The sequence below is a fragment of the Homo sapiens genome, chromosome 20 (assembly GCF_000001405.40).
Source record: "Homo sapiens chromosome 20, GRCh38.p14 Primary Assembly".
In the NCBI taxonomy this organism is placed as follows: domain Eukaryota; kingdom Metazoa; phylum Chordata; class Mammalia; order Primates; family Hominidae; genus Homo; species Homo sapiens.
In genome coordinates this window covers 57,061,948-57,088,504 of record NC_000020.11, presented here as the reverse complement: position 1 = coordinate 57,088,504, position 26,557 = coordinate 57,061,948, and the positions used below count along the sequence as shown (strand labels likewise).

Genomic DNA, 26,557 nt, shown 5'->3' with positions numbered 1-26,557 from the left:
CTATTACCTTGTTTAATCCACACAGAAACGGTGAAAGGTTTGACTTTTTACAGACGGAGGAACTAAGCCTCAGAGAGATTAGGGGGTCCCCAGGGACACATGGCTTGTCAGAGGCAAAGCCAGATTTGAACCAGATACCTCTGTGTTCCCACCTGAATGATTCCACCCCCGACACCAACCCCTTTCTCTATGTGCTCACGGATGGCCCTGTCCTGCCCTGGTCATCCATCTGAGTCCAAACCAGGGCTGGCAAACTTTCTCTGTAAAGGACCAACTAGTAAATACTTTAGGCATATAATCTCTGACACTGTAGTGTGAATGCAGCCATAGACTACAAGCAAGCACAAGGATGTGGCTATTACAAGAGCAGATGGCGGATGGAATTGGCCCCGGGCCATCGTTTGCCACCCCTGGTCTTAGCCAACCAGAGCAATCAATTCCTTTTGCCAAGTGTCGTTAGGAAGAGACACAGGCTGAAGTTCATAAGTCCAGAGGGGACGTCCACAGAAGGAATTTGGGAAGCGGTTTCTTTAGTCTTAAAAAGAGACTCTAGAAGGAAATGTTTATTCTCTACATCTGGACATAGCTAGTGAGGAGGTGATGGCTGGAGCTGGTGCAACCCTCGTGCGCCATGAGGAGATGAGCCTTAGGACCAAACTTGACATGTGGAGGGTAGAAGGATCCTGGGTCTCTGATAATGTCACTGAGTCCATCAGCGAGCAACCTGGCACTGCCACCCTCCTCTGGATTCGTGATGAAAATGATAAAGAGTTATTAAAAGCATCTCTGGTAGAAGTGTGTTCCTTTGTAGCTAAAAGCCTCCTGATTCCTGTCTTGCCTGGGTTTATTCTGTACAGTGCTGAATAGAAGAAATGCCAACCTGATTTTATTCCAGAGGATTTCAGTGGCAGCCTGTGAGTCAGCCTTGTATGCACAAAGCCACAGGTACAGATGTGTGTGGAAACGGACAGCTTCCCAGCAGTAATTTTTGATTTATGTTATTTTTATAAATCATTATAAAAAAACAATTCTGGAGCCTGCGCTTTCGAGTCTCAATGCGGAGCAGGTGTGTGTCTGATCATAGAGAGAGGTGCAGCAGGGTGAGCTCTCGTCAGCCCTCTCAAGCCACCTGGTTGGCAGGTAGGTGGCGTGGGAGCTTGCAAAGACAGCCCAGCATGCGCACAGGCTCCCTTGAAGGAAGGGCAGGAGCAAGGCCGCAGGGAGGCGGGCGCGGCTGTTCAACAGCAGACACGTGACCAGGGAGCACGCACAAGTGGCTGTTCAACAGCAGACACGTGACCAGGGAGCACACACGGGTGGCAGTAGGACCACTGAGGTCTAGAGGTCAGGGACGCCTTCCTGAAGGAAGAGGCCTCTCAGCCAAGCCCTGAAAGGTGTGGGCGGTTAGAAGGGAATGGGGAAGGGGTCGGGGTTGGGGTGGGGAGAGCTTTCCACCTAGACAGCAGCTTTGCACGGGCCATGTGAGAAGTGAGACGGTGCAGGATTTCTTCAGGGAGCCCCTGAGACAGCGAAGTTGCCGCAAAGCTGGATCTTACGTTCTGATGCTAACATTTGCATTCTGTTAACACGATTTTTGAAAATCTCCTGTAATGTCGATAAGTAACAGCGTTCACGCATTTGTGAGCATGACTTTGTAATGGCAAAACCCTGGGATAGAGCAGTTTTCTCAGCCATGGCACCATCAGCCTTCGGGGCTGGGTAACTCACGGTGGGGGCGGCCAGTGCATTGTGGGGCATCTGCAGCATCCCTGGACTCCACCCACGAGATGTCACTAGCAATCTTCCCTCCCAGTCAGGAAAACCAAAAATGTCCCCAGACATCAGCTACTGATGCCCCAGGGGGGCAAAATCCTCCCCAGTTAAGATCCCAGGGCTAGACTAAAAGAAGGCAGGTCTGTCCACTAGAGAATGGCCTGGGTGGGCAGAGCGTCCTGCCCTGGAAGACTCAGCCACGTTTCTGGTGATGAACGGCCGGTGAGGAGTGGGGATTCGGAAGTGCTGCTGCCTACCACAGGGGTTGCTCCCGTTGTATGTTACTATTGAGCCTGTGGACCCAACACACACTCACAGATGTGCTTGCTACTCAAGGATGGAACAAGGTCATGGCAGCAGGCACCCTTGGTTGCCTTCCTGTGTCCTAACGGCCCCTGATGTAGCTCCAGGTCCAGCTCTCAGGCCCATGAGCCCCTGGGAGCGCAGGTGCCAGTCCCGGTTCCTGTGAGTCAGTCGTGGTACTCCGGGTCCTATTGATGGTGATCGGTTTCGGGATGGGCATGTGACCCAGTTCTGGCCAATGAGGGGTGAGGAAAGGTCTGATGGGAGCTCCTGGAAGAGGTGTCCTCACTGATCCAAAGACCCCAAAAGGCCAGGATCCTCTTTTTCCACCCCCTGAAATCAAAACAGCCATCCTGAAACCACGAGGGAGCCAGTCTGGGGTGGCGGAGTGGAAAAGCGAAAAGCACCCGGCTCCTCCAGGCCGCGCGGGCTGCTGCATTCACCAGCTTGGGGCTGCCCTGAGGCCTCTGGGGAGGGAGGTAACACACTTCTTGAGGGTTTAAGATGATGGGCATGGCAGTTTCTGGTTTTTGCCACTGAAAGCATCCTGGTATCAGACTTCTCAGGAAGGCTGTGCAAGGGTTCATGTAGTAGATGTTCAATGCACACGCAACATTCTTGGAGATGGGATTTGAAAGCATCACACGACCCAGCCGTCTCTCAAGCTGCTTCTGTCAGGACCACTGACTGCTATCACTCAGCGCAGACTCCTGCACAGTGGGGTCTCATCTTGAGGTTGGGGTGGTGACAAAGTGAGTGTACAAGTTAAATGATGACCCGATGACAATGCTATATGGGCCACGGGCATCTGGATGGAGATGGGCCCTGGAACAGAGGAGCCTCCCTGGCTTTGATGCTCACAATAAACCTGGGACTTTCCCATAAAGTGGAGGCCACCCCATCCCCCGCCCCAGGGACTCTACCAGCTCTTCTTTATGGTACAAAAGAAACACTTCCCATAGTTCATTAAAGCTTTTTATGTTTTTTTTAAATTAAAATTAAAAACAAAATGAGTAAAAGAAGGCAGAGAAGAAAGAGCCCCTCCCTGAAGCCACATGGTTGTCCCAGTGCAGCTGAGGTCCGCCCCACAACAGACTGAACCCCACACCCCACCCCCAGGCAGGATCTTCCTGGGGATCCAAGGGTGACATGCAAGATGAATCCAGGCTTTGCAAGGCCAAGGATGGTGTCTCCGTGTGCCACCTACCTGGGCACAGAGCTGTGGGAAACCCAGCCCCTGAGGGTCTGCAAACCTCCTCACTCCCAGCTGAATCCGCTTCCTCCTGATACAGTGGAGGAGCCTGCTGTGAGGCCCCAGTGTCCGCACCTCAGCATTGCCAGTAGGAAGATGCCACCCCGCCCTGTGACTGTCAGGTGGCAGGATGTGCCTGAATTGGGGCAGCTGCCCCCACCCCCCACCTCCTGTTCTGAGCCCTGTTGGGGCCCAGCCTGGCCTAAAACCCAGCACATGTCAGTGGTAGGGGAGCTGGCCTCTCCTTACCCAAGGGCCACCAAATGCTAGTGGCTTCTCTGACCCACCCGTGGTCGAGGCCAGAAACATTGGATGGCTCAAGATGTCTTGACATATCCTAGGCTGTGGCGGCCACCCCAAAATGGGAAGCGGGGTCTTTCCCAGGCCAGTTGTCCATTCTGTCACCCAGCAGCTCCACCATCATGGTCTCCTCCCCTGGTCACTCCTCTGGATGGAGAAGACATCCCCTCATCCAAAGACACGTGGCCTCAGACTGTGGGAGCGGGACTGTTTGCTGACAGTCGAGGACTGAGTTGTCACCTTTGTGAACGGCATTATAGGAAGAGTGGCCGGAGAACCGACCTGAGAGAAAGCAGAGGTTGTGCGGATTTCCCAGGGCTGTGAGACAAGTCACCATCCACAGAGGGGCTTAAAACAACTTCCCATTTTGGGGTGGCCGCCACAGCCTAGGATATGTCAAGACATCTTGAGGCATCCAATGTTTCTGGCCTTGGCCGGGGGTGTGTGGGAGAAGCTACTAGCATTTGGGTGGCCTCGGGTAGGAGAGGTCAGCTCCCCTACCGCTGACAACATGTGCTGGGCTCCAGCAAGGGAGCCTCTCTCAGTTCTAGAGGCCAGAAGCCCGAGGTTGAGTGGGGCTGCGCTCCCTCTGGAGGCCCGAGAGAGGCTCTTTTCTTGCCTCTCCCAGCCTCTGGTGGCTGCCAGCGTTCCTTGGCTGCGGTGGCCTCACTCAGGTCTCTGCCTGTCCTCACACGGCTGTCGCCTCCTCTCTGTCTCTCCTCTGTGTGTTACAAAGACACTTGGTGCTGGACTTAGGGCCCATCCAGATACCCAGGATAGTTTCATCTCAAGATCCTTAACTTGATTACATCTGCAAAGACCCTTTTCCCAATCAGGTGACAGTCACAGGCTTCTGGGTTAGGGCATGGACACATCTTTTTGGAGGCCACCATTCAAGCCACTTTGGGGGTGAAATTAACACACTGCAAATGAATCCAGCCAGACAGCCTGGATACAGTGGGACATGCAGCAGAGCAGCCAGAGTGAGGATGGGGCCAGATGCCCTGCCTGCCCTTGGCAAAGGGGCCAGTGTCACCAACAACCAAGGAAGGCCGGGGCGTCACTCAGATGACAGGAGGCCAAGGGATGTGGCAAGTAAGGCAATGCCTGAGCCTGCATCTGATCTTGGATGGGAAGAAACTGCTATAAAAGTTACTCATGGGGCAGCTGGTGGAACTTGGACAGGGCCTGGAGGCTACAGAGTTATATCGAGGCTGGGTTTTCTGATTTGAGTAATTCTATTTAGGGGAATGTCTTTGATCTTAGAAAATCTGCACTGAGGTATTAGGGTGACGGGTGTGATTGCAGAAGTCCTGCAGCCCCTTTACCCAGACTCCCCAGTGCCTCTCTGCACACACACACACACGCACGCACACACACACATGCACGCACACACATGCACACACGTGCACACACACAAACATGCACACACACACATGCACGCACGCACGTACACACATGCACACACGTGTGCACACACGCACACATACACACATGCACACAAACACACACCCACATACACATACGCACACACACCTACATACATTCACATGTGCACACACTCACACACATGCACACACATGCACACATGCAAGCATGCACGCACACACATTTACACTCACATACAGGTACACACCCTCTCTCATGTACACATGCATGTGCACTCATATACTCACATGCACACACTCACACATGCTCTCATGTATGCTTACACTCATGTACACATACACATAGGTGTGTACACACACTAACATGTATACCCACACATACACAGTCACATACATTCACACTCACTCGTGTACACACTGTGCACATGCATACATCTCACACTCAGACATACTCAGCAGGAGGTCTTCCTGAGAGTCTCGTGACCACTCAGACCCTTGGGGACACCGGGAACACTTTTGAGACTGTGAGGGACAGACGCATCCCCAGCAACCTTGGCCTTACAGGGGATGCCCTCCTTTCAGAGTGAACCCCAAGGTCCCCGCTCTGCCTGCCAAATCCTTCCCCTCCCCCAGCCCGACTTCACCTCCTCCATGCTCCCCTCGCCTGCTCTGTTCCAGCCACAGCGGCCCCTCCCTGCCCCCAGATCCCTGGCCCGTGCCTGCCTGAGGGCCTTGCATGTGCCATCCCCTTGGGCCAGCCGGAGCCCCTTGCCCTGCATCCGCCATATGCTCACCAGCTCCCCTCCTGGCCTCCCCACCCCAGCCACTCTGTTTGGAGCAGCACCTGCACTTCTGTTTCCTCCCCTCACTCCATCTGCCTCCGTGGCCCTCACCACCACCTGGTGCTCCTCACGCTTCACATAGCTTTCTTGATGACTTTCCATCTGCCCCCCTAAAGGGAGGGATCTTGTCAGCTGTGTTCACTGCTGTAGCCCCAGTGCCTGGGCTCGGTGAGTGCTCAAGAAATCAATGTCACTCAGCATCTCACAGGCCCATACAGAGTGCTGGGGTGACCTGGGAGAAAAGGGGATGGGATCCTGCTGGCCACATGACAGCCCACCCGTCTCGGCGGGACAGCTGTCTCTTGCAAAACCACTACCTTCTGTCAGTGTCCCCTAGTGCCACTCCAAACCCCAAGTCTTCAGGGTCCCCCAAATCTGGGAGTCACAGAAGGGGAGAATTCTGCATGCACAGGACCCCACCTGTGTGTCTGTGTGCAGAACCAGGTCCCTGCCCTGCCCTCCCACACCCACGTCTGTTTCTGGAAGTTCTTGGCTGCCTAGCGTCTGTGGATGCTCACGAAGCCACATTTAGGCTTCACTGAAGCAAGCAGCAGAGGGCACCTGGACATGTCCACAGGTATGACTTCAGAGCCCTCCTGGCAGCTGCTGGCAGAGAGCCCTTGGCAGGCGGGTGGACATCCTGGTGTTCTCAGCACAGAAAACTGAGATTAAGGACCACGCAGACCAGACAGGAGCCTGGCCATAGGACATCCAGTATTGGGCTCCCGGTGGGAACTCCCCTCAAATGTGCACACACTCCAGATCCCACCCTGGAACTTCACATTTAGTAAATCTAGGCTTGTTGCATCTTTTAAAAATTCACCAGCGTTAGCCCCAAGAATCTAGATTTCATGAAGCTGAAGTTCCAGGGCAGGAGTGGGTGACGGGTGCCTTGCTGTCTGTGATCCTGCCTACAGGATGAACAGGACACATGTGTGCCAGGTGCTGCTGAGGCTTTGATGCTTGGTGGCATCTTGTGTACATCCCAGGTAGAAATCACCTGCCCCATTTGAGAGGAGACTGAGGCTTGGAGAGGTCAGGGTGGTACCCAGCATCTCCCAGGTGGGAAGTGATGGGCAGGGATTCACTCTCAGGGGTGCCTGACCCCAGAGCCTGGATCTCGCAGTGACCCTCATGATGGCACCAACAGTTCTCATAATTGAAGGGAGGCTCGGCTCTTCAGGTCCCCAGGCAGTTAGAAACCTGTGGTATGGGATGCACAGGGGCCCTGATTCAGCCTGGGGCTGGAGGGATCAATGAATGCTTCCTGGAGGAGGCTACATTTAAGCTGAGGTCATGGGAAGTGTGTCCCAGGCAGGAAGAATGTCACATGCAAAGGCTCCAAGGTGAGTGTACTCATGGCTTGATTGGAGAGCTAACAACAACACTGGCCCATGCTGTAATATTTCACCTAGGAGCAGAGAGCACTCTGAGGGCACAGCAGCTTGACATTTTCCTGAAGATGCTCTGCAAAATATCTCAAGCAGCATCCCCCAGCCTCTGAGCTAGCCTCTTGGATCATGTAGATGTTTGGTTGCTGGAGAGGTATCCACTGGACTTGGCATCCTTGGCAGGTGACTCATATCTGACCTGGCCCATTTCATGGAACAACATGTGGCAGATGACCTCCAAGGGGCCAGAATGCTGGAACATCCATGATCCTTCTATTCCTTGGAGCAGCCAGAAGGTGGGGCTGAAAGCATTAGACTGTCCAGAGTGACTGACTGCTTACAATGAGGCTTTTGTCTTTCAGATTTATTTATTTATTCATTCATTCACTTTGACAACAGCTTCCAGTATCTGTCACTTGTTGGACTTTTTACTGATGAGATCTCCTTTGACCCTCACAAGACCCCTACAAGGTATATTTTATTGCTTCCATTTTTTAGTTGAGAAAATGGAAGCTAAGCCAGATGAAGACACCTTCTGTCTCTCTGGAGCACTAGGATGGCTTTTGCCAAAGGTGCCCTACCAGCTTCAATGGGAAGCTCAGTGAAGGGGAACAAAAACCAAAAGCTGTGCATTTGCTCACTGTATCCTCATTCAACACACATTTATTGAGCATATACTATGCACCAGGCCCTGGGATAGTGCTGAGAATACACTGGTGAACAAGACAGGTGTGTTCCCTGCCCCCATGGAGGTGTACACTCCAGTGTGGGAAACAGGTAATGACAAAATGAAGAACTAAGAATTCAGGAAGTGATGGGTGCCAATGGGCAGACATTGGGTTGTAAAGCAGGAGGGGACAGAGGAGAGTCTCTCTCTGGAGAGACTAGTGAGAAAAACTCAGAAAGCAAACTTATTCCCCTTATTCTCAACTTGGCCCTAAATTTGGCCTCTCTCTGCACACAGTGCTCTGATTAAATGGATACACAAATTTCCTAAATTGCCACTGTGCCAGGAACCCATGCTTGATTCCACAGGATTAAAAGTTGGCAGGGTAAAAATCCACACACACCATACCGGGGTGACACTAAGCATCCCTCCCTCTTGAGAATCCCCAAGGTACATAGGAAACCCTCAGACTTTCCAGATCAATGGGAAAGGAGTGTGAAAAAACATTCCAGGTTATTTGAGCCCTAGGATAGTTGGAGTTCTGGATAATTCAGCAGATTTTAAGTCTAAGTCAGAGGGGAAAACTGGGACAAAGTAACAAAAACATGACTTTGTGGCTGTGGGCTGCCAGGGGTCTGAGGACTCAGATCTAAGGTGGAAGAGGTATGACTAAGCAGGGAAGGAAGGGGGAGGCAGGCACAGCATGATTTCTGTTCTTAAGGGGCCAGGGAGATATTCTCTGCTGCTCAGGGAAAGTCAGAATCCCCTGGATGGAGAGCTTCAAAATGCACTATCCCCCCACCAGACCCCAGTGGATACCTATGAGTCAACATTCTTGGGGGAACTCAAGAATGTGCATTTTCAACAAGTTTGCTAGTTGTTTAAAATATGCATTCTATGCCAACGAGTTGGATAACTTAGTAGAAATGAATAATCTGCTACTTCCTGTGATTTTCATAAATAAATTCCTAGAAACACACAAGCTACATAGATTGAATCATGAAGGAATAGAAAACCTGAACAGACTAATATTAGTAAGGATTTTGGATCAGTAATAAAAAACCTCCCAGCAACAAAAATGCCCAAGTCCAGATGACTTCACTGGAGCATTCTGGCAAACACTTGAAGAATTACTGCCAATCCTTTTTAAACTCCTCCAAAAAATTGAAGAGGAGAGTACACTTCCAAGCTCATTCTATGAGGTCAGCATTACTCTGATACCAAGCCAGACAAAGACACTACAAGGAAAGAAAACTAGAGATTCATGTCGCTGATGAATATTGAAGTAATTATCCTCAACAAAATACCAGCAAACTGAATTCAACAGTATAGTAAAATGATTATACATCATGACCAAATGGAATTTGTTCCTGGAATGCAAGGATGGCTCAACATATGAAAATAAATCAGTGTGATACACCACATTAACAGAATGAAGGGGAAAAAAAAACCCTAATCATCTCAAATGATGCAGAAAAGCATTTGACAAATTTAACATCCTTTCATGATAAAGATACTTAATAAACTAGGAATAGAAGAAAACTACTTCAACACAATAAAGGCTATAGCTAAAAAGCCCACAGCTAACACCATAACCAACATTGAAAGACTGAAACCTTTTTCTCCAAAATCAAGAACAGGGCAAATATGCCTTTCTTGCTACTTCTGTTTAACATAGTATTGGAAGTTCTAGCCAGAGCACTTAGGCAAGGAAAAGAAATAAAAAGCATTCAAATCAGAGAGGAAGAAATAAAATTGTTCCTGTTTACAGAGGACATAATCTCATATGTAAACAACCATAAGGATTCCACAAAAAAAGCTGTTAGAACTGATAAATAAATTCAGTGAGGTTTCAGGATGCAAAATTAACACACAGAAATCAGTTGCATTTCTATACATTATCAATGAACATTTAGAAAAGGAATTTTTTAAAAAATTCCATTTACAATAGTATCAAAAAGAATAAATATTAAGAATAAACCTAACCAAGGAGGTAAAAGACTTGTACACTGAAAACTATAAAACATTGCACAAGAAATTAAAGAAGACACAAAGGAATGGTATAACATCCCATGCTCATGTATTGGAAGACTTAAATTCTTAAGATGTCACCTACAGATTCAGTGCCATCCTTATCAAAATGCCCCATGGCATGTTTTGCAAAACTAAAAAAAACACCCTAAAATTCCTGTGGAATCTCAAAGGAATCTGAATAGCCAAAAAGCTTTGAAGAAAAATAACAGAGTTGGATGACTCACACTTCCCGATTTCATAACATATTACAAAGCCACAGTAATCAAAACAGTGTGGTACTGGCATAAAGACAGTTACATAAACAAATGGAATGGAATAAACAGTCTAGAAATAAACCTTTATATGTATACTCAACTGATCTTCAACAGGATGCTAAGCCCATTCAATGGGAAAAGGACAGTCTCTTCAACAAATTGTGTTGGGAAAACTGGATATCCAAGTGCAAAAGAATGAAGTTGGGTCTTTATCTTAGACTGTGTATAAAAATTAAAGGGATTATATATCTAAACAAAAAACCCAAATGTTTAAAACTCCTAGAAAAAACTTAGGGGGGCAATCCTCATGACACGAATTTGGTCTTGGATATGACACTACAAGCACAGACAAAAAAAGCAAAAATACACAAATGAGACTAATTTAAAGTTAAAAACTTTTTCCTCAAAGGACACAATCAGAAAAGGTAATAAGAGAAAAGGTAATAAGAGGCAGAATAAGAGAATATATTTGTAAACCATATATCTGATAAGACGTTAGTATCTAAATATAAAAAGAACTACAACTCAGCAACAAAAATCATGTAACCTGATTTTAAAGTGGGCAAAAGACTTGAATAGACATTTCCGTAAACATAATATACAAATGACCAAGAAATACATGAAAAGATGCTTCAACATCACTACTCATCAGAGAAATGCAAATCAAAAACCACAGTGAGATATCACCTCACATCGATTAGAATGGCTACTATTAAAAAGCCCAGAAAATAACAACTTTTGGTGGGAATGTGGTCCCTCTCCGGGCCCTCGGTTTTAGTCTTCCCAGGGGAGTTGGCATGGCCACTGTCACCCTGTGCTGAAATCTTCCAGTAGCTTCTCATTGTCTCAGAATGAAGCCCAGTCTCCTTCCCTGGGCCTCCAAGCCGTGCATCATTTGGCCTCTCCTCTCTGTCTCTCCAGCGTCATCTCCCTGAATGGTTCCTGGGCTCCCTCATCCCAGCCACGTGGAGCTGCTCATGGCTCAACACTCTGAGCTCCCTCCCACTGCAGGGTCTTTGCACTTGCAACCCCCCTTGCCTAGATGCTCTTCCTGTAGATGGCCACAAGTCCGGCTCCTCTTGTTATTTAGATCTCATGATCTAAACCATTGCCTCCAGGAAACTTTCCCTGACCACTAAATCCACACTGGCCCTCTTCCCAACCATTCTTTTCCACACTCCTTGGCTTTGTTGTCTTCATAGCTTTTGGTGAAATGCGTCATTGTGTTATTTCCTGTGACCCCCAGCTCCAGTGAGAGCTCCATGAGAGCAGAGAGTTTGATGGGTTTGATGGTGACACTCCATGGGGTAGGGCCACTAGCAAAGATGGACAAGATGGTTAGCTGTCCTAGATCTCACAGAGCAGGACACACCTTCCTAAAGCCAGACTCCCTAGGACCACTTCCATTCCTCTCACAGCCTGGGGAGATCCTCTATCTCTGAGACTTAAGAGAACCTAGCCAGTTGGACACTCCTAACCACCTGGGCTGATTTTCAGCTTGCAACTTGCAGCAGAGAATGGGCGTTCCAATTTCAATTTCAGTTCATGATTAGGGCCTGGGTCATAGGGACCCAAAGGAGCTGGAACAGGGTCTAGACAGGCAGCTCCGACTGTAATCCCTGGGTGTGGTGAAGGCGTGACCTCCACACTGCTGATTAGTGAGTGGGGTCTGGGAGGGGACCATGAAGCCGATGAGAAGCTGGGCATATCTACTCCCCTGATGCAACCCGGGCCCAGCCAGCAATTGGTGAGTCAGCACGTACTGACTCGGCCTGATCCTGGAATTTGGCACAGAATTTGGCTCAGCATAGGCGTCAGCAGGAGAGGGAGCACCGCCTGAGAGGTCGGGAAGCCCAAGATAATATGTGAGAAAGTGTTTCCATATTTTTGAAGTTTCCAGAAGTCAGGAGGCAGTCGAAAGAATCCAGAACTTTTGGTAAAAGCAGCCTGTCATTTGCAGCCGTGGACTCGGACAGGTCTGTTGAAACTCAGTCTCTTCTTCTGAGTCATCCCATAGCGTTGCCCTGAAGATCAAGAGATAATGTGGAGGGAAGTGCTTTGTGGACCTCCAAGGCCAAACCATAAGTCTGTGAGGCAGGAGGTCTGTGTGCAACTGAAATGTAAACTCCTGGAGGCCAAAAACATAGATCTTATCCCTGGTGCCCAGCATTTGGTGGGTGCTACATAACTCTTGGATGAACGTGGGCTGGTGCTGTGTTTACCAGGCTTATTGGTCTTGAATAAGAGAAACCCAACCTGAACCAGCTTCAGATACAGGGGAATCTGACAGAATGCTCCAAGGGCAGCATGCAACCAGGCCAAGGGAACCCAGCAATCAGGACTCAAGCACCTCTTGTCTCTGAACCTCTGCCTCATTCTCTTCTCTCTAGAAAAGATTGGATTCTTTAACTTCTCATGGCCATCAGCAACATCCAAGGTTTACATTCTACCATGTAGGTCCCAAAAGAGTATTTCCCAGGGAAGTATACTGATTGGTTCAACTTGAATCCTGTGCTCATCTCTGGACCAATCAAAGGAAACCAGGAAGTTATAATCATAACACAGTATGGCTGCTTCTACTGACACCAAGTTAATGGTGGTGAGGGGTTCTTGGGAAGGTTCTTTTTCTATTCTTAGAGATGAGGTGCTGAGCTGATAATCCCATGGGTGTGTATGAAAGAAGTCAATTTATAAGAAAGAATTAGTTTTTAGACGTTTATAAAAAGTAACACATTCTCATTGTAATAAATGCTGGTTACAGAAGGGGAAAAATCAACCATCATTCAACAGCTCAGAGATAGTCACGGTTAACCTTCTTCACCTCTCTCTGGCTGTTCCTTCGAGGTCTCCTTTGCTGTTCCTGAACGCTGGAGGGCCCCAGGGTGCATCCTTGGATCTCTGTTTGTTCTATGCATATTTACTCACTCCCTCGTGAGCTCATCCAGCCTCTTCCTGTCCTGAAGATTTCTCAGTTTCCATCTCCTGCCTAAGCCTCTCCCTGACACCTGCCTAGTATATCCAGTGATCCCAACATCCCAGGATATACTAGGGACTGTATATCCTGAGCAACCGTCAAAGTTGGTCCCTTTTGGAGGCTCTGAGGGAGAGTCTGTTCCAGCCTCTCTCCACGCTCCTGGGCTTCTGGGCAATCACTGGCATTCCTTGGCTTGCAGCCATGTCACACCAATCTCAGTTTCCATCATCACATCACGTTTTCTCTGCATGTCTGTGTCTGTCTATGTCTCTGTGTCTCTTCTTCCAAGGACACCAGTCATACTGGATTTGGGCCCAACCTATTTCACTATGACTTCATCTTACCTTGATTATATCTGCAAAGACCCTGTTTCCAAATAAGGTCCCGTCCCCAGGTCTCTTCTGCATAGCCACTGTTTACATATTCCTGTCTTCTCTAAGCCTAGATGCTGCCAGAGTCCCTCTCAGAGCCTTGAAATCCCCTCTGAGGTTGGCTAAGTGAAGATCACCATCCCCACGTTGCAGGGGAGTCTTGAAGAGATGTTGACATGTCCAGGATGGAGCGAGGCATCCCCAATGCCAACGCCCAACGCCAACACCCACCTTCCAGCCACTCACGTTCACTGGCAACAATTTCAAAGCAAACGCCTCAGCGTAGGCTGTGGAGGGAGGGGTGTATGCACTGGCGGGAGGCTGCCTGCTCACCATTCAGCTTTGGATCCCTCCTAACCGGCACCCACCAGGCCAGGCCACCAGTGTCCCCTTCAGGACTTTGCTTATGCAAAGTGGAATGCCCTCTTCTGGGCCCCACACAACCCACCTTGTCCTTCCACCTCAGAGCTAGTGTCCTTTTGGGTGACATCTGCCCTGACCCCTGCCCCGTTCCCAGACAGCGCCTGGCACCTCCCTGGAGCCATCCGCGCTAAACACTGAAGCATGCTCATGTTGCCCTCGGTTACTCTCCCAGTTTCCACTGCTCGGCTGAGCACCCGAGGCCGGGACAGAATTCAGTTCCTGAGGGCCTGGCCAGTTGCAGAGGCCTCTCAGCCAGGTGAGCACAGCAAGGTAAAGGGTCCTGGACCACAGGGGAGCTCCGGAATCAGGCAGAGCTGGGCTTGGATCTCCTCGGATCTCCATCCTCCCATTTAATCTCTGTGCTGTCTTGGGTAAGTGCTTGGGTTGGATCGTGTCCCCCGAAAAGACATCCTCAAGTCCTGATCCCTGTGAATGGGACCTTATTGGGAAATGGGGTCTTTGCAGATGTAACTAGTTAGTATAGGGTCATACTGGATCGAGTAAGTGCTAAATCCAGTGACTGGTGTCCTTAAAAGAAAGGACACAGACACACAGAGGGAAGAAGGCCACGTGACACAGGACACAGAGGTTGGAAGGATATGTCCAAAAGCCAAGGAACACCAAGGATGACCAGCAGCCACTGGAAGCTGGAAGCGGCCAGAAAGCGTCCTCCTCTAGAGCCTGTGGAAGAGCCTGGCCTGCGGGCACCTTGATTTGGGGCTTCTAGCCTCCAAAAATGCGAGAGAACAAGTTTCTGTTGTTTTAAACCACAACCGCAATTTGTTACGGCAGCCCTGGGAAACTAATGTAAGTTACCCTATCCGTGCCTCAGTTTCTTCATCTGTGAAACAGGTATAAGGGCACCAACCCAAGGTGATCCGGATGATGAAATGACAGTTTCCAGCATTTTCCTCCTGTGTGCCGGGCACTGTGCCAAGTGCCATAAATATGTTAACTTATGTAAAACGCTGTGTAATTCTGCTTTAAAATCTTATTATGCTCAGATTACATGTTTTTTAAAAAAAGTGTTGGCTACAAACAGTATGTATAATTCTGTTTTAAAATCGTATTATACTCAGATTTCATGGTTTTTTAAAAACTTGTCTTGGCAACAAACTGTATTTGAACTATTGGTCAACACTTTTAAAATAATGTTATTGAAGTATTATATACAATAACATGCACAGAGTTTAAGGGTGGCATTTGATACATTGTGGCAAACATGTACACCCTTCCACACTCAGAACAAGACGTGGAACACGGCCCCCCTCACCCCAGGAAGACCCCACCTCCTTCTGCCCTGGGTGGCCGTGGTGCTGCTTTCTGGCTGCAGATTGGTTCTGGCCTTCTGGCCTGTTTTCGAGCTTTATGTAAGCAAGATCACCCCGTTTGTCCTCTTCCAGGTCTGGCGTCCTTCCCTTAGGCATCTGTGTTTCAGCTCTATCCTTGCTGCTGCTGCACCCGAAACCTGCTCCTTCGTATTTTAGAGTACCCACTGCATGGGGCACCAGTTTCATGATCCGCTGTCCCGATGCCTGTTCCTTGTTTTCAGTCCCCCGTTCTACAGAGGAGGAAATGAGCCGCAGGGAAGCTTTTGACTTGGGCAAGTTCTCACCGCTACTGAGTCTGGGGTTGGTACGGAGTGACGCTCTCAGCAAAGGTCTATGCTTCTATGCGTATGATAGTGCCTTGCTATGCCAGGCGTGTGGGGAGTGTGCCATGCTATGATAATGATTATTAAGAAATGGCTTAATTAAATATGTGTGATTACATTTATTTCATTATTAAATTTCAGAACCAGGAATGGTAGCTGGTCTCAATGGTTCTACCCAGGACCCAACTGCTGTCTGTCAAATAGGTGTTTGTTCCAAGCAAAGACCTGGGTACTCCCACACTGCGGCTGGAGCCAGCCCTGCAGTAGCCCCACTCCTTCCGAGAGCCCCTCACTCACCCTTCTGGGGGCCTCATTGAGGAAGGCTGAGCAAGAGAATGACATTAAACTTCAAACGTCTCTTTGTCTCTGAAATTAATGGAGAAGAGAAGTCTTTAATGGGTTGCAGACTTGTCTGTGGGCTACAGTGACATGACTCAGCCCAATCATCCTCCCAGCTCTGGCCATCTTGGCTTAGCTGTTTACCAAGAGACCAGGGGATGGAGATGTTGAGGGCTTAGGGTGACGGAGGCAGCACCAAACCTGCACCTCCAGCCCTGGTATGCTGGCATTCAGGAAAGCTGTGCTCGCCTAGCGTGGTCTCCAGTTTCCTTTTGGGGAGTGATGTAGTTCCCTCCTCTCAGGAAAGCAGTAACTCAGTCCTGCCTGGCAGTGGGAGAAGGGCTGTAGAGAGATGTAGAGAGGTGTTTCTTAGCCTGTCACATGCCCAGGAGTTCCCAAGGGATCCTGTGAAAATGCAGTTTCTGACTTGGGAGGTCTGGGGAGGGGTCTGGGACACCGCATTTCTACAGAGCTCCCAGGAAATGCTAAGGTTTCTGGTCCGTGAGCTGTAGATTGCAAGTTGCAATCTGACTTAGGGTATATTCCCATCAACACACCCGCACATACGTGCACACACAGGCTGGAGGGGGAGGTGGAGGGTGGGCATAGAGCTATCTGGGGCTGACTCCAGCTCCACTAGGATTCACCTGTGTGTCTTGGAGCAAGGTAGTCCATCTCTCAGAGCTCCAGTTTTCTCAGCTGTAAAATAGGAGGAAAGCCAGTGACTACATCAGGCTGTTGTGAGGATTAAAGGAGATCACATGTAAGGGGGTTTATGATGAGAAAGGGCCGAGAGAGGAGAGACAGCTAGATGGCGAGAGAGACAGAGAGTGAGGAAAAACACACACAGAGACAGAAAGACAGGGAGAGAGACAGAGAGCCAGGGCGCCAGCAGGCAGCATTCCTTTTCAGACTCCTCTGCACTGTGTGAGTGCCCTAACCGGTTCCTTCCCTCTCTCTCCCCGCTTTCCTTTGTGTATTTATTTATTTACTTGTTCGATGGTTCATTTATTTGTTTTAATACCCCCCGACATCATCTGGGCCATGACATTCTGAGCCACATGATGGAAGGCTCAGGAATTGTTGTAAAGTGTCACTTACATCTCCGATGTTTGTGTGAACAGCACGCACGGCGGTGACAGTGATAATGGAGGTCACGTGAGCTCTCTGATGTCTCATCAGGTCCCGCTGGGCAGCCAGTATCGGCTTGTAATGATCCCTGCAGACAGGTCAGGGGAACTTGCCACAGCGCTGGGTCTCAGTATAGCACTTGCGGTAGTTTTTATTCTCCTCTTTGCATTTTTAGAAGTATTTTCCTAAGTGTGTAATATTTTAATGAAACATAATGTTTGTTGTTAGGGCACATGTAATGAGGACCCAGTATGGGCTATATAGGCGGCTAACCAAGAATGTAATCAGTGTTCCATTCAATCTGCGTGTTCAGTCATCGCTGGAACATCCCAGCCTGTCAGATACCCTCTGCACTGTCAGAAATTCCCTGCATTACGCTTCACGCCTTCAACTCTTGAAAGCCTGATTTTTGGAAGGGCAGGGGTGACTCAAAGACAATTGTTGCCTTTTGCAGCTGATTCTCTCCGTAATATGGAACCCCAGGATTTGAGACAGCATCAGTGGCCGCCTGCCATGATGCCCCAGGAATGTCTGGTCCATCTCCATAAGCCAGGGCTTGGCAGGAGCTTGGTTTGTGGATGAGCCAAGTTCTTGGGTGGGACCTGCTATGATTTGAGCACTGGGGACTGGTCCCTAAAATCTCTCATGTCCATGTTAAAAAGAACTGTTCTCTTGATTGCTACTTCTCCAGCAGTAAAGCACTCACCTAGGTGACAAGATCTCAGCTGTGACTGGGCTGAACATGGCATTGGCCAACCAAGCTCTAGAGGTTCCCATCTGTTTGGGGTCAGCCCTGGAGCAGAGGAAAGTCTTTTAAACTGGAGAAGCTGGGCCACACATTCCTGGGGAGAAGAGTGACCCTTGGAGGCCAAGTTTCTCTTCATCTCATGGAAAAGGTGGGGGCATTGGGCGAGGTGGGGCTGGGAAGAAAACTCAAGTCAGCTGCCAACAGGCCAAGCCCCCCCACCTGGGAAGAGGCTGAGAGAGCTGCCTGGAGCCCATAAAAGCCAGTCCCCCTCAGGGCTGGCTCCAGGGTTTATTAAATACTAGGCCTTCTAGACTAGGAAAAGACTAAACAAAATGTGGTTTTCCTCTGTGAACTGATTGCATCTGGGGGTGCACTTCCCGAAGACCAGTCTGCAGGGATCCCTGGCCTGGTGTAGACATTCTGCCCCTTGACCCTGGTCTGAGGCCCTGGACTAGGGTCACTGGCTTCCCTGAGGACAGCCCATCAATGCCAGGAGGGGGAGGGGAGTGGGTCAGTAGCTTAGGGAGGGGATGAGGATGGATCCACAGGCCCCGTGTTGTTCAGTGTGGAAGCTGGTGGGGCCTGGGCAAAAGGAGAAGATAAGAGTCTAGTCCTGGGATTGCGTCCTTCCCTGCCACAGCAGCTACTGTGAAGACCAGGTACTTAGGAAGAGTGGGACCACTCCAGCTAAACCAAGTGACCCTGTCTTCCCGGAAACTGGGCGGTTCCTCTCCTGCGATGTGGGGAAGGGTGAGAATGGGCTGGTGGAGATGCAGGTGGAGGGCAGGTGGGAGGATTCTGAGGCTCTGCGGCACTACTTTTGCACCCTCCCCTCATTTTCCACGGTGATTCATTTTCTTTTCTTTGAGTTATCGTTGGAGTAAGAAATGCAAACAAGGCAGCTACAGTCCTTAGATCCTTAGGTCAGACAAGTAGCATTCGCAGTCACAGCTGAGTGTCTTGGCCTGAATACTGTGGCCGGTCAGAGAGCAGCTGGGCGGGGACCTGTGAGCAGATTCCTGTCCTTGTTCCTGTCCTGTGGCTGAGACCATCCATCCGGGGCCAAATGGTGGATTCCCTCTTCTGTCTTAGGGAAGTTTCCTTTTCGCCTGCAGGAAACCCTTGGGAGCAAGCACAGCTTTTCAGAACCCATTCTGACAAATTACAAAATAAGACTTTTGCCCCAGTTTTTCTCTGCACGATTTGACTTAATGTCAAATAGTGTCATTGGTCTTGATGAAAGTTATTTAAAAGAAAAAGTGAAATTGTCCATAAAAGCCTGCAGTTATAACCAGAAGTATCTGGGTTAGGTGAAGCTACAAGTTACAAGACAGTCTTGTCCCAGATTCCTAGGAAGAAGGGGATTGGCTTCAATCCTACATGCTTTGCTTAAGATTGATTTATCTCAAATAAGTATTGAGATGCATTTATTACCACCTACTACCTATCAGCTGCTTAGCCCTGTAAACTTCTATAAGCATGCCCAAAAGTCACCTCCTCAGTGAAGCCTTCCCCGGCTTCCTCAGGTTGCCTCTTCTGCATTCCTATGACATTTTATTCACCTGTCTATCACAAGACTCTCCAGTTTATGTATTTCTAATAATAAAGTAACCTTAAGGAAGCTGTGACCCATGAGGGTCAATGACCAAGACCTTGGAGAAGTGATGTGTGCAAGATGCACAGTTCTGCAGCCAGAACGATGTTTGAAAGCACCTCCATTTGCTACTTTCAAAAGAACATAAAGAGCGTAATGGAAATTCATCATGTTTGGTTGCCTGGCCCCATTTCCCCTTCATAACCATGACAGTTTTGATTCAAGGGCTTGCCCTCCTCCATTTACAGATAGGGCACTGGGCTTACAGCACCCCTCCCCTCCACACAAGACAGACAGAAGTAGGCACATGAACCACACCAAGTCAGTCAGATAGCCCACTTTGGAACCTGAGTCTCAAGCAAAGGGACAAAGAGGCTGACATTGTTGGTGTTTCATTCCATCGCAGAAACTGCACCTTGATCAGACTGTTTCTGCTACCTGCCTCATAGCCTGCAGCCTGCCTTGCTCCTACTCATTCTCAGTCCCACATCTGCAGCCTGCCCTCAGTTCTGTGATGCTTCCAGTGAATTCCCTTTTTCTAAAGTCAGCCAGGACTGATTGCTGTTGCTTGCAACGAAAGAATCCTAGATCACTCAAAGTTCCCCAATGCTTGACTTCCTGCCACTTTTTTCAGATCCCCTTTTCCTTATTCTCCCATTGTCTGACACTTATGTTCCCTAAGTGTCTTCTTTCCTCATCTCCAGTGCCATTTCCCTCCCCCATCCTGCAGGAAAATTTTACCTTTTCTGCCCACTCTTTTCTCTCTCAGCTCTTTATTTTGTAGATTGTCTTAATCAGTCTCTTTAAAGCCTTTCTCTGTCCTTCCATCAAATCCAGGCTTTCTTGACCTTCTGGCATCCCAGAAAGGAGGTCCAAGAACCCAAAGGGTTTGATAGAGAGTGAGTCTCCCCAGAGGGCAGGAGACAAAGTGATGGTTGAACTGGACTAACGCCCCTTTGGCCAGCAAAGGAGGGGTTGTTGGTAAATGCCTCATCTTTACTCTGTCACATGAGAAAGGCTGCCACAGGTGAAGAACTTGTGTGCCACTCCCACACTCATCTCCCCTCATCCTGCCAATGAGGGAGACTTCCTTCCACCACAGTAATTTTACGTGTCAACTTGATTGGGCCACAATTAATGCCCAGATTAAACATGATTCTTGGTGTGTTGGTAAGAGGGTTTCCAAATGGGATTAACATTTGAATTGGTTCACTTAGCAAAGCAGATGGCCCTCCCCAATGTGGGTGGGCCTTGTCCAAATTGTTTAAGGGCCTGTATAGAACAAAAGGCAGAGAGAAGAGGGCTTCACCCTTTTGCTTCCTGTCTACCAAATGGAGCTGGGACATCTCAGCTCATCCTCTCTCGCCCTTGGACTAGGATTTGCAACATCAGCTCCCCAGGTTCTCAGGCCTTCAGACTTGGGCTGAATTATCCCAGATCCTCCTGGGTCTCCAGCTTGCAGATGGCAGATAGCAGGGCTTCTCAGCCCCCGTATCTATGTAAGCCAATTCCTCTTCATACATATATATATATACATATATATATATATCTTCTATTGCTCTGTTTCTCTGGAGAACTCTGACTAATACACTTACCATCCCCGTCTTCCAGGGGTGGAAACTGAGTCTCAGAGGTGAAGACACTTGTCCTAGGTCCCCCAGCCAGGAGGACTTTTTTCCTGGGGTGGAATTCACATCTGCCTGTCTTTGGAGCCCTTACTGAAGCCCAAGGCTGTTATGAGGGCTTTCTTGTGTTGCTATAAAGGAATCCCTGAGGCTGGGTAATTTACAAAGAAAAGAGGTTTAACTGGCTCACAGTTCTGTAGGCTGTACAGGAAGTGTGATGCCAGCATCTCCTTGGCCTCTGGGGAGGCCTTGAGCTGCTTACAGTCCTGGCAGAAGGTGAAGGGACAGCCTGTGTATCACAGGTCAGAGCAGGAGCAAGAGAGAAGTGGGGGGAGGTGTCACACACTTTTAAACAACCAGATCTTGTGAGAACTCACTCACTACCATGAGGGCAGCATCTGCTAGGAAGGATCGCCCCCAGGACCAAAAAACCTCCCACTGGACCCTACCTCCAACACTAGGGATCACAATTCAACATGAGATTTAGAGGGGACAACATCCAAGCCACATCAGCTTGTGTCTTCCCTGTTAACTCTTCCTTCCTGCTAATGATACTGTAATCAACAGAGCCCTGAGCCACTGGCTAGAGGAGGTCTGGTTGTGATTTATTCCAGTTTGGCCTCATCTGTAATCAGAACCACCCTAAACAGGAAACAAAGGGATGTCTCCATCCCTGGGACCCCAGGAACCCCGGCAGGGCCTCCAGGAGGTTCTGCCAAGGGTACGACCCGTGTGGGCTGCAGCCCTGATGTTATTCCTTCCCTGAAAGTGCAGCCCTAAGGAGATTGTCACGGAAGGTGCACTTGTGATCAGCAGCCTGAAATTGAGGTTTCCTCACCCAGGGACAGAGCCATGTTCCCAAACACCTGGAAAAGATGAGTCCAGATCGCTTCTCCCAGCCAGCAAAGTCAGAAAACTGACTGCAGCTTTTCATTTCTCCACTGGTCTTTGTTGTGCAGACAGAACTTAACAAGGAGAAAGGGTTTGGGAGGATCTGCGTGTCTGCTCAGTTTTCTGTCTTTTATTTATTCCTTTGGTGGGTTCATGACATGGGAACTGCTAGAATATGCCCATTGTAGGAAAATTAGCAGATGCAGGCAGACCAACAGAAAATTGTTTTAAAACCTCTACTGTGACTCATCCGCAGAGCATCACAGTTGATAGACTGGTATAGAATGGGTGTTTCTTTTTTGAAAAATGAAATACATGCTTACATTCTGCTTGGTGACCTGCTTTTTGAACGTGATGATCTTCATCGGCGCTCTCAACATTGGAAAGCATGGTGTAGTAGCTATCTGTTTTGTGGGACTGTTTCGCTCTGTTTGTTCATTAGCCAGGCCAGCTCCATCCTCCCTTCCGACAGGACTGCTCTGATTTTCCTTTGAGAATCTTTGCTCACAGCGTGCAGCCTTGGTCCCCCTGTCTCTCTCTCTGTCTCTTTCTCTCTCTTCTCTCTGTCTGTCTCTCTCTCCCTTTCTTTCCCTCTCCTCTCTTCCTTTTGTTGAGACAGATAACTTTCTGACGCCTTCCCTTCACCCCCCACCCGACGTTTTTCTGTAATTACCAGGATTCCAGACTCTGGGACATAACAAAGCCCGAGGTAAACCACAAGCATTTGACACGGCCTCAGTCTCAGTTTGCAGAGGGCCTGTTTGACAGCTTCGAGAGCCACATGAAGAAGCTTCTCAGTTCTGAGCAGGGCTACCCTTCTGGGCTGCTCAGTGACAGATAATATTTTCTAAGACTTTAATTAAATCCAAACCCCTGATACAAAGGGGTGGCCCTCCATGGTCACTCAACAGCCCAGGGGCCATCTGGGGCATGGTGGGAGCCAGGGTCCCTGGGGAGTCTGAGAGCCGCTGAGGCTGAGGGCTGTCCTCAGCTGGATGTGGCGATTCCACAGCTGAGGAATCTTGAGCTTAGAAAATCCAAATCATTGATGATGGGCAAGCAAACATGATCAGCCTTTGCCCTGGAGGGAGACATCAACTTTGTAAACAACGGCAAACAAATCTGGCTGCTGCCCCAGAGGGAGACACTTTTCTGTCTACTAAGTTGTTTTCTTGTAAAGACAGTATAGAAGAAAAGCTGTCAGTGCCTCTGCTCACAAGATGTGCAGAAATGGGAGACACCATAGAGAATTTTCTCTCAATGTGAATGAAACAGGAAGAGGAGAAGTGTCAAGAAAGATGTTTCTTTGATGTTGTCAGAGTGTGAGGCTGAGATGCTAGGAAGCTCTAATCCAGCTATTCACTCATCATCCTGTAGCCTCTTCCCTTGTGTTCGGTATCTCCCGTGGCAAAACCTAGCCTCATGGCTCCTGTGGCACAGTGGCTGGCTGACGTAGCAGTCAGGATGTGCTTGGCAGCAAGACACAGAAGAACCATCTCCAATGGCTCCAATAATAAGGAATTTGTTACCTCACCAACATGAAGCCCGAAAAGGAGTCAGTGGCTCAAGGACGGGCAGATTTGGAGGTTCAGTGGTGCTACTAAGACCACAACTTTCAGCCCTGCCATACTCCCCAAATTGTCCTCATCCTCAGGCTTTGCTTGTGGTTGCAAGGTGGCTGCCAGAGCTCCACACATAATATCTTCATACCAACACAGAAGGAGGGAGAGCAGTGTCTTCTTCATGAGCCCGCTTAAGAGTGGTAAGAAAAAACTTCCCCAAAGCTCCCAGCTTCCAGATGTTCTGTCAACTCTTATTGGCTAACATTGTGTCACATCCTCTTTACCTAAGCCAATCACTAGCAAGAAATGGAATTACTATGACCACCTTGGACCAATCAAGTTTCACTGTTGAACTGAGCCACCCCCGAAGCCCATGGATTCCAGATAACTGAACCAAAATAGGATAAAGACAGGTAAGTGACAGGGCTTCAGATACAGCAAAAATATGTAAATAAAAATGTTGTGGACCAGGCCTGGTGACTCTTGCCTATAATCCCAACACTTTCGGAAGCCAAGGTGGGAGGATCCCTTAAGCCCAGGAGTTTGAGACCAGCCTGGGCAACATAAGGAGACCTCGTCTATACAAATCATTTTTTAAAATTAGCCGGGCGAGGCAGTGCACACCTTTGGTCCCAGCTACTCAGGAGGCTGAGGTGGGAGAATTGCTTGACTCGGGGCAGTCAAGGCTGCCGCAGATGTAATCACGCCACTGCACTCCAGCTTGAGCAACAGAGCAAAGCCCCATCCCCGCCTTCCCCCTAGAAAACTAAAACAAAAACCCAAAAATGTTGTAGACGCCCAGTTAAATCTGAATTCAGATAAATAACAAATACTTTTTGGCATACGTCCCATGCAGTTTTGGGGGCAGGGGTGAAGGCCTAATTGAGCCGATTTGCCTGCTGCTGCTAGGAGGAAGCCTAGTAGTGGGGTGAGGCGGTATACTTATACTAAAACTTATTCACTGTTAAGCTAGAATTTGAATTTAACTGGGCATATTGTATTCTTTCTGGCAGCCCTAATAGCCAGTCAACACTGTCTGCTAGAGTTGGATCATCCCAGCAGCTGTGTGGTGGGAAGTTTTTGTCTGATTAGAAGAAAGCAAATCTATTTGGCTGAAATGGAATTCTTGGTAATGATCTCTCCCTGATACCCACACTGCTCCTCATGCCCCGAGCAGATCTCAGCACAGATGCTGCTGCTGTTCATTACGTTTTGCTACTGTTCATCATGTTTCCAGTTGGAAAACAGAGTCAGTTTTCCCCTTAATACCCTTCCCCCAATTCAACCCATCAGTTTTAATTCTCTCAGTCCTATTTCCAAGATACATCCTGACTTTATTCCCTCTCTCCCTGTCCACTCTCATCACCCCAAGCCAGTGATCTTCAACCAGGGTCCATTTTGATGCCCAAGGAACATTTGACAATGTCTGCAGAGAGTTCTGGCTGTCACAGCTCAGGGGGAGGGGACCCACTGGTGTTTGGTGAGGAGAAGCCAGGGATGCAGCTCAACATCCTACATTGCACAGGACGGCCCCACAGTGAAGACTTACCTGGCTCAAATTTCAGTAGTGCCCAGTGGAGAAACCCTAGTCTAGGCCAAGCGTCTTCCACCTTGGCTGAACAGCTGCCACGTGCCCCCTTGGTCTGCCAGCTGCCACTGGCTCTTTATTGCCCTAAATGTCCCCTCACCTTATGATTCCCCAATTAAATGGTTTCAGTGACCCCTCTCTACTCTTCTTTGTAAACAAAACCCACATTCCCCCATGGCCTACCTGCTGCCAGCCTCCCACATGCACCTTCACCCGGCCGCTTTTGCTTTGTTCTTTAAATAATGGCTTCCTCTTCCTGCCAGTCCCAGCTCCCATGTCATCTCCTTCAAAAAGGCTTCTTGGGCCTCTGCTACCTGCTGCCACCTGCCACACTTTACCCATTTTATAGCCTCCATGTGACACAGACAAGAGACAGGGAAATACTGGGTGGAAGAGGGCAGCTCCCTGGCAGAGGCCCCGCCCCAAAGCCTGGAAACCTGCAACCCTAAATGGGAACAGGCACTCCTGTTTTCATGCCCAAATGTTGCCTTTTGGCCTGCCATGGCCCCCTATCCTGTACCCATATAAACCCCAAACCCAGGTTCCACGAGCAGATGAGCAGAAGAATGGAGTGGTGGAGGAGGAGAGAAGAGAAGGAGCGTCTGAACGTCTGCTGGGGACAGTCAGAGAGATCGGCCCAGGGACAGCCAAACTCCAGGGAAAGATCATCTTCCCACGCCATTCCCTTTCCAGGTCCCCATCTGTCCTGCTGAGAGCCACCTCCAGCACCAAATAAAATCCCTGCATTCACCATCCTTCAAGTCCATGTGTGACCTGATTCTTCCTGAATGCTGGACAAGGACCTGTGTACCAAGACTGAGCTGGTTAACACTTAAGCCCTCCATGGATGGCAAGGCTAAAAGAGCACACTGTAACACACGCCTACTTGGGCTTCGGGAGTCACAGGATCCCACCTCCTGGATGCTGTTGTGGGGCTGGAGCCCAGGGGTGCTCACCCTATCTCCTGCACCTGCCTGTCTGCGTGCTCTCCCTCCTGTAAGGGGTTTGAGCACACACATGAGCCGTACCCTTGTTGCACATCCTGCAAGGGGGTTCAGGGAACTCTCCTGTTTCACATAGATATCCTTGTCAGATTCCCAATCTTTTCAATGATCTTATTTATAGGCTTTCCTATTGGTGAACATTTTCCCTGTGGCCCCTCCAGAAGCAAAGCTTTCTGAGGCAGGCACACTCTGGATCCTGCCCTCAGCGATACTGCACATGGTGTGTCCTCGGAAACCGGCACCGATAAGTGTCCAAGACATATTTATTGACTAACTGAAAGACACACGTTTACATAAATCCACCAGTGAAAATCAGGGTTGGGTACAGAATTTGCAGGGCCCAGTACAGAATGAAAAGGCGGAGTTCCTTGTCCAAAAATTATGAAGAATTTCAAGAGAGCATTAAACCCAGGGCAGGATGCTTCTAAGTGTGGGGCCCTGGACACATG

At 49.1% G+C, this 26,557-nt stretch overlaps 2 annotated features.

The window, feature by feature from the left end:
• Positions 16,849 to 17,412: an enhancer, noted in NCBI's record as "OCT4-NANOG hESC enhancer chr20:55646149-55646712 (GRCh37/hg19 assembly coordinates)". NCBI's record gives its function as "activates a minimal SCP1, AML or CMV promoter by ChIP-STARR-seq in naive and primed H9 embryonic stem cells {active_cell/tissue: H9 hESC(naive and primed)}" and the evidence as "EXISTENCE:reporter gene assay evidence [ECO:0000049][PMID:30033119]".
• Positions 22,909 to 23,410: an enhancer, noted in NCBI's record as "H3K4me1 hESC enhancer chr20:55640151-55640652 (GRCh37/hg19 assembly coordinates)". NCBI's record gives its function as "activates a minimal SCP1, AML or CMV promoter by ChIP-STARR-seq in primed H9 embryonic stem cells {active_cell/tissue: H9 hESC(primed)}" and the evidence as "EXISTENCE:reporter gene assay evidence [ECO:0000049][PMID:30033119]".